The sequence below is a fragment of the Homo sapiens genome, chromosome 6, assembly GCF_000001405.40.
Source record: "Homo sapiens chromosome 6, GRCh38.p14 Primary Assembly".
NCBI lineage: Eukaryota > Metazoa > Chordata > Mammalia > Primates > Hominidae > Homo > Homo sapiens.
The window spans coordinates 167,749,579-167,765,291 of NC_000006.12; the positions used below are offsets into that span (position 1 = coordinate 167,749,579).

Below are 15,713 nucleotides of genomic sequence, written 5' to 3' on the forward strand. Positions count from 1 at the left end.
AAACAGCCATATGATTTCATTTTATACTCACCTTGGGATTCCAAGTTTATATTGAAAGTTTCCTTTTCTTTCCTTTATATTCTACTGAAAATCCCCATCCCCATTTATCCAACCACATGCAGTGCTGCAGCTTCCAGACTCACACATACTGCTGCAACAGAACCTGTATGTTTTACTATATTTAAATGAAATGTCATATTGGTAACCTATAAAGTCAGTTTTAGTGTGTGTGTGTGTATATATATATATATATATATACACATTTATTTTTCTTTGGGATGGAATTTTGCTCTCTCTCCCAGGCTGGAGTGCAATGGTGCAATCTTGGCTCACTGCAACCTCCACATCCTGGGCTCAAGTAACTCTCCTGCCTCAGCCTGCCAAGTAGTTGGGATTACAGGGGTGCACCACCACACCTGGCTAATTTTTGTATTTTTAGTAGAGATGGGGTTTCGCCATGTTGGCTAGGCTGGTCTCGAATTCCTGACTCAGATGATCTGCCCGCCTCGGCCTCCCAAAGTGCTGGGATTACAGGCGTGAGCCACCGTGCCCAGCCCAGACTTAGTAAATTTTTTGTTAACAATGCAAAATGTTCAGCAATATGTAAGCCACTCAACCTCAGGAAAATGACTTGGCCTCCCTGAATGCTGCCTTTTGTGGAAAATGAGGGTGCGCCTGCCTCCTGGGGTTGGTTCTGAGGCTAGATCGGGTGTGACTGGCATGAGAGCCTGACACGGCACACAGCCGATAAACAGAAAATGTTTGCTTGCGTTCCTCATGAATCTGGTAATTTTCCACCTTTTCTCTAGGAATGTTAGACTCCACACTGCTGCAACAACCTAATTTTTCCATCTTTTGTAAAGTTTAAATGCATAAACAAAAAATAAAATGTTAAGCTCCACCCCTCCCAACCATCTGAATGAACCCGGCAAAGGGCACTCCAGAGTTCAACTGAAAAGCTGGTTCAGGCTGTGATGGGAAGAGGGGGTGGGACAGGCTTCATCATGCCCACCTCCCTTTTGGAATTCAAGGAAAGCTGACCAGCATAAACATCAGTACAGACCTGAAGTTTGATAAGAAACACTGACCATCTCTTCTCTCTGAAGCCTGCTACCGGGAGGGAGGTTTCATCCGCATGATAAAATCTTAAGTTGTCCCAACTTTCTGGACCGAACCAAGGTATTTCTTAAATGTATGTGATTGAAGTCTCACATCTCCCTACAATGTGTATAACCAAGCTGTGCTCCAACCACCTTGGGCACACGTCACAGGCCATGATCACTCATATTTGGCTCAGAATAAATCTCTTCAAATATTTTACAGAGTTCGACTCTTTTCACCGACAAATGGGCAATGTGTTGTGTTTGCATGAGGAGCCCCTGGTTGAGAGCAAGTTCCCTGCCGGTTCTGCCCTCAGGTTCTTGGTGGCCAGAGACACTCCCCAGGGCGGGCAGCCAGTCTGGTGCTGGCCAGGGCTGTGCTGCTTAGCAAGGCCACAGAAGGGACGGAGCTGCCCTGCCTGCCAAGCCTGGGAAGCCTGCTCAGGTTGTTTACTGCTGGCCTTTCAGGAAGTGCTTTGGGAACAACCTCACACCTCTCAGGTCATCTGACTCTCAGTCCCACTGGGAGGGCAGCTTAACCTGTTTGTCTGCTTGTTGCTTGTTGGGCTGTGCAAGCAGTGAGGCTGGATTGTTGCCTCAGGAGTAAGTTACATAAGAGACTCTACATTACATTACATTACAGCTCTACAATGCACCAGACGGACCCATCTGGATTCTTTCGGGGCTCTTAGCCCTAGAAATAGCATCATTTCTTCAAACTGGTGAGTCCTCCTGTCTAAAATCAGGATGCAGAGAGTTGATGCACGGCATGGCACAGGTATATTGTGGGAGCAGCCCTCTCCATTCATGCCAGAATTCTGGGCATTTAATTCAAGTCCCTCCAAAAGAGTGTTGACAGCTTTGTTCTCTCCTTATCCCTTTTCTCTCCTCTTCCTCCTTCTGACTGCAGGATGCTGGGCAAGGCTGGCAGGCCCGGGAGAGCCTGTGGCCAGCCTGGGTCCAGGAAGTGGGCAGCTGCCACAGAGGGGCCTCCGAGGCTAGCTGCCTCCTAACTTCCTCACGGCACACCATTCTGCCGTCCTGAGTCTTCTCAAGGTTGGAAGGTGCCCAGATCCAGGGAGATGGTGCTGGCTCTTTGGTGGCTGTGGAGTGTCCAGACAGATGAGCTGGAATCCTTCAGTTTCTCTGCCTCTCCTGTCAAGTTGGGGTAGCACTGCTTGGACTCTTGCCCCGGCTGCATTGACCAAGCCTTGATGTTGCCTTGACCAAGCCTTGATGTTGCCTTCTTTGCCAAACCACTGGCCACGATGTTGCTGGCACAGCAGCCCAAAGGCAGCTGCTTGTCCATCTCAGCCTGACCCAGCCTTCATGCGGGCTCCATCTCAGCCATTGTAAAGCAAGCTCCTAGTTCTAGTTCTCCCCCACAAATTTTATTGCTAAATAAACAATTAAGCTACCCCTTTAAATAGTAAAAATATGTATATACAAACAAGATCTAAACCCATCACAAGAATGTATCAACCAAGCCAGGCACAGCGGCATGCACCTGTGGTCCCAGCTATTCAGGAGGCTGAGGCTGAAGGATCAGTTATGCCCAGGTTGGAATCCAGCCTGGGCAACATAGTTGTATTAGTCCATTGTTATGCTGCTGATAAAGACACACCTGAGACTGGGAAGAAAAAGAGACTTAATTGGATTCACAGTTCCACGTGGCTGGGAAGGCCTCAGAATCATGGTGGAGGACAAAAGGCACACCATACATGGCGGCAGCAAGAAAGAATGAGGAAGAAATAAAAGCAGAAGCCCCTGATAAACCCATCAGATCTCATGAGACTTACTCACCATCACAAGAATAGCATGGAAACGATCGACCCCCATGATTCAGTTACCTCCCCCTGAGTTGCTCCCACAACATGTGGGAATTCTGAGAGATACAATTGAAGTTGAGATTTGAATGGGGACACAGCCAAATCTTATCATTCTTTCCCTGGCCCCTCCAAATCTTATGTCCTCACATTTCAAAACCAATCATGCCTTCTCAACACTCCCCCAAAGTCTTAACTCATTTCAGCATTAACCCAAAAGTCCACAGTCCAAAGTCTCATCTGAGACAAGGCATGGTGGAAGTTTCTTCCACCTATGGGCCTGTAAAATCAAAAGCAAGCTAGTTCCTTCCTAGATACAATAGGGGTACAGGTATTGGGTAAATACAGCTGTTCCAAATGGGAGAAATTGGCCAAAACAAAGGGGTTACAGGGCCCATGCAAGTCCAAAATCCAGCGGGAATGTCAAATTTTAAAGCTCCAAAATGATGTCCTTTGACTCCAGGTCTCACATCCAGGTCATGCTGATGCAAGAGGTAGGTTCCCATGGTCTTGGGCAGCTCTGCCCCTGTGGCTTTTCAGGGTACAGCCTCCATCCCAGCTGCTTTCATGGGTTGGCGTTGAGTGTCTGTGGCTTTTCCAGGCACACAGTGCAAGCTGTTTGTGGATCTACCATTCTGGGGTCTGGTGGACAATGGCCCTCTTCTCATAGCTCCACTAGCCAGTGCCCCAGTAAGGACTCTGTGTGAGGGCTCCAACCCCACATTTCCCTTCTGCACTGCCCTGGCAGAGGTTCTCCATGAGGGCCCCACCCCTGCAGCAAACTTTTGCCTGGGCATCCAGGTGTTTCCACACATCTTCTGTAATCTAGGTGGAGGTTCCCAAACCTCAGTTCTTGACTTCTGTGCACCCTCATGCTCAACACCACGTGGAAGCTACCAAGGCTTGGGGCTTCCACCCTCTGAAGCCACAGCCTGAGCTGTATGTCGGCCCCTTTCAGTCATGGCTGGAGCATCTGGAACACAGGGCACCAAGTCCCTAGGCTGCACACAGCACAGGGACCCTGGGCCTGGCCCACAAAACCACTTTTGCCTCCTGGGCCTCTGGACCTGTGATGGGAGGGGCTGCCATGAAGGTCTGTGACATGGCCTGGAGACATTTTCCCCATGGTCTTGGGGATTAACATTAGGCTCCTTGCTACTTATGAAATTTCTGCAGCCGGCTTGAATTTCTCCCCAGAAGATGGGTTTTTCTTTTCTACTGCATCGTCAGGCTGCAGATGTTCTGAACTTTGATGCTCTGCTTCCCTTTTAAAAGGGAATGCTTTTAACAGCACCCAGGTCACAGCTTGAATGATTTGCTGCTTAGAAATTTCTTCCACCCAATACCCTAAATCATCTCTCTCAAGTTCAAAGTTCCACAAATCTCTAGGGCAGAAGCAAAATGCTCCCTGTCTCTTTGCTAAAACATAACAAAGTCACCTTTACTCCAGTTCCCAACAAGCTCCTCATCTCCTTCTGAGACCACCTCAGCCTGGACCTTATTGTCCATATTGCTATCAGGCTTTTGGTCAAAGCCATTCAACGAGTCTCTAGGAAGTTCCAAACTTTCCCACATTTTCCTGTCTTCCTCAGAGCGCTCCAAACTGTTCCAAAATCTGCCTGTTACCCAGTTCCAAAATTGCTTCCACATTTTGGTGTATCTTTTCAGCAGCACCCCACTCTACTGGTACCAATTTACTGCATTAGTCTGTATTCACACTGCTGAGAAAGACATACCTGAAACTGGGAAGAAAAAGAGGTTTAATTGGACTTACAGTTCCACATGACTGGGGAGGCCTCTGAATCATGGAGGGAGGCAAAAGGCACTTCTTACATGGTGGCAGCAAGAGAGAATGAGGAAGAAGCAAAAGCAGATAAAACTATTAGATCTCGTGAGACTTATTCACTATCATGAGAATAGCATGGAAAAGACCGGCCCCCGTGATTCAATGACCTCCCCCTGGGTCCCTCCCACAACACATGGGAATTCTGGGAGATACAATTGAAGTTGAGATTTGAATGGGGACACAGCCAAACCATATCAGTAGTGTCCCCTGTCTCTCAAAAAAGGAAAGAATTAATCAACCAAAGGAGAAATCTGAGTGGCTGTGGCTAGTGCTCTGGGCTGGGCATGGACAGTAGTCCCAGGGAAGCCTCCCTGTCACGAATTATGGTGGCCAATTAACCATGTCAGCCGTAGTTTCATCATAACCAGAGTTTCAAAGAGAGAATGAATCATAAAACTTTAAAGCTTAGAAAAGATCTCAGAAATTAAGACCCGTATCTTAGAGTGGAGCTTCTCAAATGTCATCGTGCATGCGATCCCCTGGGCATCTCGTTAGGGAGAGTTCTGAGTCGGAGGACAGGGGCAGGGCAGGGGGCAGGGATCAGCATCTCTAACCAGCTCCTGGGGAGGCCGCTGTGGGGCCATGCTGGGATGGCAAGGCCTCAGAGGACCCAGGGCTTCCAGTGTAGACTCAGCTTCACCCCGCAGAATAAGAGGAAACATGTTAGAACTCATTTTTCTGTATTTTCAGGTATAGAGACCCTTGGGGAGGGTCCAACCCTGCTGCGTTTAGCGTAGCTTGTCATGGAGAGGTTCCAGTGTGTTTACACCTTTGAACCATCACAACGCCCAGCATGAACTCTTCAAACTTTTGTATTCATGGCTCCAAATGTTGAAATTTTAAAAATGACTTTAAGGCTTTTTATTTATTTTTAATTTTTTTCTACAACTTTAAAGCAAAACTCAAGTATGAGCTCAGAAGTATTTTTCTCTTTGAAAATGTTTAAAAAAAAATGCTGCAGGTAAATGAAGCTGTTTCTTTGGGACCAGCCCATGGAGTGCTGGAGTAGCTGTGAGGTGTGCGCCAGGCCAGGGGACTCACCCCGTTTGTGCTTCCATGTTCTTGTAAAATGTGGATTGTAGTGGAGCCTACCCCAGAGGGCTGCTGAGAAAATTAAATTAGTTACTGCATGTAACACTTAGAAAATACAAACATGAAGCGCGTTTAATACCGAATGCCCTCATTGAACGTTCATTGATAATGTTATTGCTGTTGCTGCTTCTCACTCCACCTCTCTCACTGGGGCCTGGGAGCGGGGATGCCTGCAGGTGTGTTGGAATCCGTCAGTGCAATGCCAGGGGCACGCAGGCAGAAGCGGGTGGGACTCGTCCTGGTAGTGGGGGCGAGTTCAAGGTAACGCAGCAGACAAGGAGAAATGGATTTTCATTGACCGGTAAGTTTTAAATGGAAAACAATCATTCAAAAGAGGCAATTTGAGGACACAGTGAGCCTTCGTCTGCACCCCAGAGCTGCAGGGGCTGCTGCGGCCCGAGGACAGGCTCGCTGCTGTGACCTGGAAAAGCCCTTCCTGTCTCAGATCAGTTCCATGATCTGATTCTCATGAATCATTGAGTAAAAGGGGATGCTTCCAAAGCTCCCTTCAATTTTACCCAGCAGAGGCCCTGATGTTACCGGGCCACCCCTGATACCTTAAGGCCAGAAAGGTGACATGGGGACCCCAGTGCCTGTCCGCTCTTTACTTCCTGCTTTCAGCCTCAGGGAGGGAAGCCCTGTTGGGATGCTAAGGGGTGTCATTAGATAGTCATCAGTCTTAGCACCGGCCACCTTCAGATGAGCCCTCAAGGTCCCCCACTGCTCAGCAGACAGGGGCTGTGTCAGCCTGGGGTGATAACACCCACATACCCTGGCTCAGCCTGCACACAGTAAGTTCCCCCAGTAAGAGCTTCTGAGTGCAAAAGAGATCTGTCAAGTTGATCAGACATGGATCAAATCAAATGTCTCATTAATTATTCTTATTATTAATTTTCATTAGCTGAGTTTTTTTTTTAATTGATGAAATTCTTCATCTATTTAGCATTGTGTAGACGCATTGTGTCATTTGGAAAAGTAAAATGCAGAAAACGTCATTGACTTTGCACTGGACATCAGAATTTTCGTTCCCCTGACACAGGGATGGGACTTAACTAGTAAAGTGAGTCCCCCACCCCCCAATCCACAGCTCCCCCAGGACCAGCAGAACGTGGGTCTGAAGGAGGCCTGAGGATGTCCATGGCCAGTCCAGAGACTGTCATTTGCTCCCAGAGATCCTCAGGTACCCCAGTTCATCCTAGAGAGAGTCCCAGTCCCTAACAAAGTTCCAGAACCACCTAATGAAGATGTGAACCTTCTTGGGAGTCTCTAAACTACTCATTCATTCAACAAATACCTGTGGAGTCACTCACTCTGTGCAAACAGCTGTAATGAGCAGTATGAGAAACTTCCCTCCACGAAAGGCATAATTTAGGGGAGACAGGCAGGTTAATTACTAACTATCACGCCAGGCTGAATGCCATGGATGCTATAATAAGTGTACAAACTACATGGTGGGGATGCTGGGTCAGGGATTCAATCTGATGGGAAGCTTCAGGATGAGCTGGGCTTCAAAAGACATGGCAGGCAGAGGAGAGAGAGGTAGAACCTTAGTCATGAACTGTTACTTAATCTCTAACTTTCTGTTTAGCCAGATAATACTTTCCATGGCTCAAATATTTAAATGATATTTAAAGATGTGTTCAGGAGGTCTCACTCCCACTCCACCCCCATGCATGCGGGTCCCTTGTCACACCTCCTGCTGTGCCGCGTGCACTGGGTCTGGCTCGCCTGTCTATGTCTACGAAGATGCAAGCAGTGCCCATTCGTATTCTTATTCCCCTTCCTCGTGCACACAGTGCAGCATATTGCTTTTTTTTGCTGAACGTCATATTCTGATGATCTTTCCTTATCCATACACGGAGCTCTTTCTCATTCTTTCCCTAGAGCTGCATATAATTCAAGCAGCCCTGGATGGATTTACATCTGCTCCTCTCCCGGCCTTGTGCTGTTACAAACACACCACGGTGAGTGGTGCACAGATGTCATTTTGCACATGGGCTGGTATGGACAACACCAGATTCCCTTCCCTAGCTGGAATGCCATTTTGCATATCTCCCGACAACACACGAGTGCCTGCTTTCCACAGCACCTCCAACAGAATGCATTCTCACCCCTTTCAGTTGTTTGCTTATCTCATCCCTGAGAAATAGAATCTCAATTTAGTTTCAGTTGCATTTCTCTTACTGGGAATGATAAAGAGCCACTGAAATGTGTATTCTTAAGAGAATGATCATTAGGTATTGCATCCAACGTCCCTCTAAACATTCCATATCAATTTTAGAGAGCCAGTAGTGAGACCAGACACCAGGCGGAATATGGCTCATTATCTGACTCCAGGTCATTCTCCTTCTGATAAAATTAAACCTGTAAGTATGGGAAGACCCACTGTGCGTGTGCAGGGATTTGCCTGTTACATAGTGATATTTAGCACGGTGGAGCGGGGAAGGCTTTGCTGGTGCTGATCCTACAGTCAGGTTGTCTGGAAAAGAGCGTCTTTTGGGAGACACAAGACAAGCACCCAGAGGCAGCGGTGACGTGTGAGCAGGTGGCCCCAGCTCATCCCTACCGGGCCTGGGTAGAACCTCTGTCCTCTGCAGACGGGGCTCCTGTGGACGTCGAAGCCCCAGGCAGTCCCGGTGCCCTGCGGAAGAAGCTCCAGGAGGTTCCTTTCCTCACCATATGTGGAGCCTGAAACCGGTTTTGCCATGGTTTCTGCGCCATGGTTTCGGGTGAGCTGTGGGTCTCTTGCTCACTGACCCCACATCATCCTGCAGGGACTGGGAAGGGGAACCGAGGCTGCCACTAACAGTGACAGTGGCAGAGAGTAGGAAGTAAATACATGTGCTTAGTGCGCTTGAAGTAGTGTAAATGGACTCAGCAGTGAGGATTTGGCTGTGGCACAGCAAGGCTAGGGGATGCCCTCTATGCCACGGCAGCCGGCAGCTCCTTCAGACCCCTGGGCCAGACCATTTGCTGTGGTCTGAGGCAACCCGGTGGAGAGGAGGGCATAACTGTGTCGCAGGATTCATCCCTGGGCAGCCACGGGCTCTGCTGGGCTCCATGTCCAGAGCCTGTCCCTGCAGACGGAGCCCCCGAGTGATGGCCCGGATTATTGACCACCAGGAACACCTCAGAGGGCAGAGCCCATAGCAGGGCCCACAGAGGCCTTCAAAATCCCTTTGTCACATACCCAGCCCATGAACCGAGCCAGGAGAGGGCCCCAGAAGCCTGGCGACTCTTCCCAAGGCTTCACTGGGATGGCCCCTCCTAGCCTGGGATGCTTGCTCAGAATCCCTCCAGGACAACAAGGCTAAACTGGGGGACTGATGTCCAAACAGCCGCCCACTCCCCTCACAACCACGCAGCCATAGGAGGGGAGAGCCAGGCGTGCAGGCAGAGGAGAGAGGGGTTCTGCGTCAAGTCCTCCGGGCGCCCCCACCCCACTTGCACAGAGCCTGCTTCTGCGGCCCCAGCTTGGGGCACTCCATCTTGACATTGCCCTCCTCCCTCTGCCCCCCGTCTGAGCTGGATGAGGAAGGCAGGCCGGAGCTGAAAGGGCACAGTTCTGCCCCGCTCCAGGGCCTGCTGCCCTGACAGCCCCAGGGCACGGAAAGTCACCAGGACCCTCACCTGTGACTTAGGAAAATGTCTAAAGAGCTTTGTGAGGATTTGGCACAAAATGCCTGCAAGTGATTCTGTCCTGGATATATTTGGAAGTTAGAGCCAACCTAATTTGCTGCTGGGTTGGATGTGGTGGTTGAGAGAGAGAGTTCCCCAGGGTGGCACCCAGGGGAGGCTGGCACACCTGGAACATCGAGTTTACCAGGACGGGAGCGGAGTGCCAGGAGCAGGTTCTGCAGGAAGGGATTTCAACTTGGGACATGGCAATGCTGAGATGTCCATTGGGCAGCTAAGTGGAGGCTCCCAGGAGCCCTTTGTGAGTCCAAAGTTCAGGAGAAGGGACGGAGCTGGAGCCCAGATGGAGAGCCATCGGCTCAGAGATGAGCTTTGAGGCCCAGAGCCTGGAGGTTGAGTGGAGAGAACAAGATCCCAGGTGGACCTCTGAGCGCGCAGGTCTCAGGAGGTCAGGAAAGGACCCAGGAAAGGGGGCTGAGAAGGTGCAGCCTGACCAGGCGGGAGATGGCCAAGGGAGGGGTGTCCCTGATGCTGGTGGAACGGGGGCTCTGGGGAGGCCGTGAAGGCTGGGCAGGATGAGGGAGAGTTCAGGGAGAGGATGGAGAATTCAGAGCAGCTGTGGAGGAGGAGATCAGGCTCAAGGGAAGATATAGCGCAGGAAGATTCCTGGTCATCTGATTTAGGCGACCTGTGAAGAAGTCCGCTGCAAGAGGATGTGGGAAAATGGAGTGGATCCGGAAGGGAAAAAATGGGCCAAAAGGAATGTTTTGGTTTCGTTTTCCCGAGATGGGAGAAATAGTAGCACGTCTGGGCACTGGTGAGAAAGATCAGGGAGAGAGGGCGAATATGACGATGTGGGCGGGAGAAGGAGGCGCCACAGGGCTTCCCAGGCGGGTGCAGGGGGAAGGGTCTGGCCTTTGACAGGAGTGAGACTGGCTCATCCCCTCCTGAATGTGATTGGCGGCAATTCCCAGATGAAGATGGAGTCAGCACTCTGGCAGGGTGGACTGGGGTGGGCTGGATGACATGTTCGAAACCTGCAGGCAGACACGTGCATTTTCAAAAGCTGCCCAAGAGATGTTTCACGGCCCTCGCCTCCCAGCCTGCCTCGCCTCGGGCTTTGGGGATGCCGACACGCAGGTGCAGCTTCTGAGAGACAGAGGGACCTGTTCGGTGTGGGGGATGGCCTGGGGCTCAGGTGCCATTTCAGGCGTCAGGGGCAAAGGCGAGGAACAGTGCCTGGTGTGGAGCTGGCAGAGAAGATGGTTGTCACTGTTCACTCCAGGAAGGATTTCTTGACCTAGCTCTGCTCTGATTCACTGATTGCGATATTATAGTCCATTTTCTATTTCAATGTGCAGTTTAACTTTCATTATTTCCAAGTCTGCAGAAATATTTCCCCACGGACCCCATGGACATGTAAGAGTGGGCTCCTCCCCATCCTCCACACTGCTCGTCGGCTTTGGGAACGGAAATCACGTCAAGGCCCAGCCCAACAAAGACCCTGAAGTCAGGAAAGCCTTCCCTGTGGAGACTACCTGTCTGTCTGCTTCAGATCAGTTTACCCCAGGTCCAGACAGGGTCATTCTGGTACTAAGGGGCATGGAATGACCCAGATGGTCCCACTCCATTCCTGGCACCCACCCACCCCACCTCACCCCACCCCACCCACATACAGATAAAGTTGTAGGACAACTGCACACCCTCATGATAGCCATTCTGCTCACTTGAGGGCTCAGTGGGATGTTCAAGTTTTCCTTCCAAAACCTTCTAATGTCCCATATCACTCTTTATACCCTCCTCAGGAAGTTCACCCAGATCTGGAGTTAAGGAACCCTAGGTTAAGGGTGAGAAAATGAGGTTAGGTATGAGGAGGGGAGAAAATCAAGAGCCATGTTGTAATCACTCATTGTTACCTCCCACACCGTTCTGGAAGGTTCCAGGCTCATGCCTGCCAAACCCAACCCTGATTCCCTGGCAAGCATCAAGACCACACAGTGCAGAACAGAAAGATAAACATTTCATAGGAAAAGACCTGACTCAGAATGAAGGTAGAGGTGGCAGACCCCAAACCACACACATGCGTACAGTAGGTGCTTAACAAATACTTGCGGAACAGATGGATGCACAGAGGGGGCCTCATGGGAAGACCCTGGCCCTGAAGGCCTTGAGCATTAGGATGTGTGCTGAGCCAAGGTCGCCCCAGGGCAAGGCGGCTGGAGCGCTCCTTAAAGATTCCATTCACTCCCTGCCAAGAGCCGGCATCCACATGGCTGCCTTGGAGTGCTGAGGTCAGAGGTGAGGAAGTATTTTGAAACTGTGAAAACTTTGAGCTGACTCTCTGGTTCCCAGGACTCTGTCCAGTGCCCATGTGACGTGTGCTCTGGATGGGAGTCTGCACGATCGTTCTCCAGCCCAGCTCTGCCACAGAAGCTCAAGCAGCCAGGAGGCCAGCCACTGAGTGAGGAGGGATTGGGGAGATAGTCACGGTTGCACAGCAGACGCTGAGCCAGGCACTGCTCCTGGATTAACTCACTCAATCCTCACGACGGCCCGTTATTATTGACATTTTACAGTTGGAAAGACTGAGGCAGGGGGCCATACGGGGAGGATGCTGGGCACAGGGATTTAAACTCAGGCTGCGCAGCCCTGAAAGGCTGGCTCTTAGTCACCATGCCATGCAGCCTCTCTCAACCCAGAACACCGGATTACAGCTCTCCACTGTACACCCGTCCATGCCTCCCTCCCTTTTTCCCTCCCCCCATCCCTCCATCCACCCATCTATATATTACTAACAAGCCCATTGGTTTGGCAGCAGACCAAGCTGGGTGGTAGCAAAGAGAAGAAGAGATGTGGACACACACTGTGCACCTGCTACCACATGCATTAGGCTGTGTGCACAGAGAGGGCTGGCGCAGAAGGCCGAAGCGGGATGGGCATCTTTCTGTGACCAAGAGGAAACATCCCTAGATGCCTCCCTGTTCACCCCCACTTCTGGGTCCCATCTTTGTACTCCCTCTACCTTTCATCTCCACCCCTCGCTAACCTTACACGCCCCCCAGGAAAGCTTTTCTTCCCATTGTTTGCCCTTCCTAAATGTCACCTTAGTTCTGAACAATGCTGCGTTTTATACTAGTGAAGCATAAACTTCACCTATGGAAGGAAAGTAACTGGAATGTCCATGATAAATTACCCGGATAAGAGTAGCATAAGGGGTTGATTGCATTGATTGATTAGTGAAATTATCACCAGATATATCCAGTCTCCCATAAGCCGGGCAACAGACTCTATGGCAGGTGAAACTCACACTCCTGGGACAGGCTCCATTGCAAATGTCCTGACAAACTATGAGCTGTTTCTCAATCATGTTATCAGCGGTGCAAAATCCAGTGTCAGCACACAGCCACTGCCAGGAGACAGTGTGAGCACCAACACACAATGCAGTCTTTGTGTTTCCATCTGGTGCAAAAGAAAGGAAAACAGCTTTGGTCAATAAATAATACGCATGGCTGTTGCGGTTTTTCAATACAGCCAATAAACACAATCTTAAAATTGAGTTATATAATGCTACATTCATCCTTCATTTCTTTTTATTGGACTTGATCTACCTAGAGCTTCTGTAAAGTGGCTACCCACAAGAACATAGTTGAAAGCCAAAAAATAGAGTGAAATAAATCAAAAATAATCTCGACTTTCCTTCAGATTTTAAAACAAAGACCCTGTGTATAGCATCCATGTTACATGACATACCCGATGATCCTCTGTCCCCTGCTGAGTAAATGTTTTCCTGGATAGTCACGGCTAATAGTTTTGTTTTGTTTCATTTTGTTTTTGAGATGGAGTTTTGCTCTTGTTGCCTAGGCTGGAGTGCAATGGCACGATCTCGGCTCACTGCAACTTCCACCTCCCAGGTTCAAGTGATTCTCCTGCCTCAGCCTCCTGAGTAGCTGGGATTACAGGCATGTGCCACCACGTCCGGCTAATTTTGTATTTTTAGTGGAGATGGGGTTTCTCCAGGCTAATAGTTATTAAGTGCTGCGTTAGTAAGCAGTGCTGCTCACCAATATCCAATCTCTTCTCTCCAGCACGTGGAGGATTGGCCTTCCTGTAGCCCCACAGTGGGCATAGCCTCGTAGTGTGGCCTGGATGGTAGGTGTGTGTGCAGCATCTGCACAGAGCATGGGACCTGCTAAGATAAGACCCTCCAGCCTTCTCCTTCCCTCTTCTCTGGTCGTTGGCTGATATGGTTTGGCTGTCCCCACCCAAATCTCATCTTGACTTGTAGTTCCCATAATCCCCATGTGTCGTGGGAGGGACCTGGTGGGAGGTAATTGAATCATGGGGCAGTTACCTCCATGCTTTTCTCATGATAATGAGTGAGTTTTCATGAGATCTGATGGTTTTATGAGGGGCTTTCCCCCTCTTCACTCTGCACTTCTCTTTGCTGCTGCCATGTGAAGAAGGACACGTTTGCTTCCCCTTCCATCAAGATCGTAAGTTTTCTGAGGCCTCCCCAGCCATGCGGAACTGTGAGTCAATTAAGCCTCTTTCCTTATAAATTACCCAGTGTTGGGGATGTCTTCATTAGCAGTGTGAGAATAGACTCAAATGCTGGCTTTGCCAGGCCTGGTCCCAGATGAGGACAATGCAGCCCCAGAGGACTCACGGGTCGTCCCTAAGGGACACTTGGAATGAGCAGGAACCAAGACACCAGGCTGCTGGATTCTGCAGCATCCAACAGGATAGTGAGGCCTGTCCTATAAACTGGTCAGCACAGCCTCTCCTGTGGTCTGTCCTGCAAATGTGCACACTCTGTGCCGGATGCTGTTCTGAAACCTGCAGCTGTGGTCACTGCTGCTGTCCTCAGAACAGCCGCTGAGGCTGACCCCACTTCCCCCCATTTGACAAATGCAGAAACTGAGGCCAGAATGGAAAGTAACAAGAAATGAAACTGAAGTTTATGCTACTTTATTAAGGCATTTTTTAAAGCCAGATTCCATTTTTATGGCCTTAAATATTCTTTTGTATACACAACTGTGGCTGACAGCAGCAAGATTGTTTTCCCTACTTCTCGCTAGAGGAGGGACATAAAGATTGGAAAAAGACAGCAGAACACACCCCATAACCATCAAGAGGGACTGCATACATTAAACTCGTACCAGAATCATCACACAACAGTATTGGAATCCCGAGGAGTTACTATGTCATGGACATCCAGTTGCCAGGACCTTGCTGGGCCAGGTGTGCCATCAGTGGCCAAGCACAGAGACAGTGCACTTCCCTGTCGCCCTGCTACTCTCGGCTCGGTGCAGTGAGGTACGTGCGACTCCAGTTGTTTCCGAAAACCCAAGGAGGAAGAGTGAGGGCACCACAGAGGCCTGGCCCGCATACCCAGCCCCAATTCCTAGACATACAGACTGGATTTCCATTTTCAATCTCATTTGAAGAAACAGTTCCCTGACTTTAATAAATGTTGAAACCAGTGGGCTTGTAAAATAAACCTGAGCTGGGGAACCAGAGTGGGCTTGGATTCCAGCCTCCCGCTTCCAGGTCACACAGCCGTGGGTGAGTAGTTTAACCTCCCTATTACTTTCGTGTCCTCATTTTAGAAATGAAAGACATTAGGGTGATTATGCCTACCAGATACTGTCGGGAACAACTCCAGCCCTCTGTGAACTGCTAGGGGTGGGAGAGATGTCAGAGGCCTCCTTGAGACAGGACTGGGGGCAGCAGCCGTCCTGGAAGAGGTGACGTCTGGGCTAAGGGAGCAAATGGAAGACGAAGTCTATCCCCCACTCACGAGGTGAAAAGATCCCGCCTGCTCAAATGCTTGTGTTTTTCGTACTCAGCTTCAGAGGGTAAAGAGGAGTGTGTCACTGGAAAAACAGAGTTCTAATCAAAGGTGCTTTGAATTCTGGCCGAACCCCTGCTTGGTTTTTTGCTCAATCCCAGTGGACTTCGACTCCTATATTAGTTACTGCAAATGTCATCTTCAAAGAAATTCGCTGGCCCAGGATACTTAAATTAATCATAAAATCAGTCTCTTAGAGAAAAATCTCCCATTCTGGGCTGTCCCCTCCAGACTTTAAAGCACTGTGACAGCCCTCAGGACCGAAAAGCAAGATTTTAAAATATACCTTGGCCTCAATTAAGAAGAATAATTTGCACATGGAAACAGAGCCAAGCTGAATCAGAATTTTCTATCAAATCTCT

The 15,713-nt window shown here is 49.6% G+C and overlaps 1 long non-coding RNA gene across 1 annotated transcript; it reads left to right on the forward strand.

Moving 5' to 3' along the window:
* The first annotated feature begins 1,731 nt into the window (after window positions 1-1,731).
* On the forward strand, window positions 1,732-2,527 carry LOC107986547 (uncharacterized). Its single transcript, XR_001743900.2, has 2 exons — window positions 1,732-1,878; window positions 2,011-2,527. It is a non-coding gene; the product is annotated as an uncharacterized LOC107986547 (long non-coding RNA).
* Window positions 2,528-15,713: the final 13,186 nt, after the last annotated feature.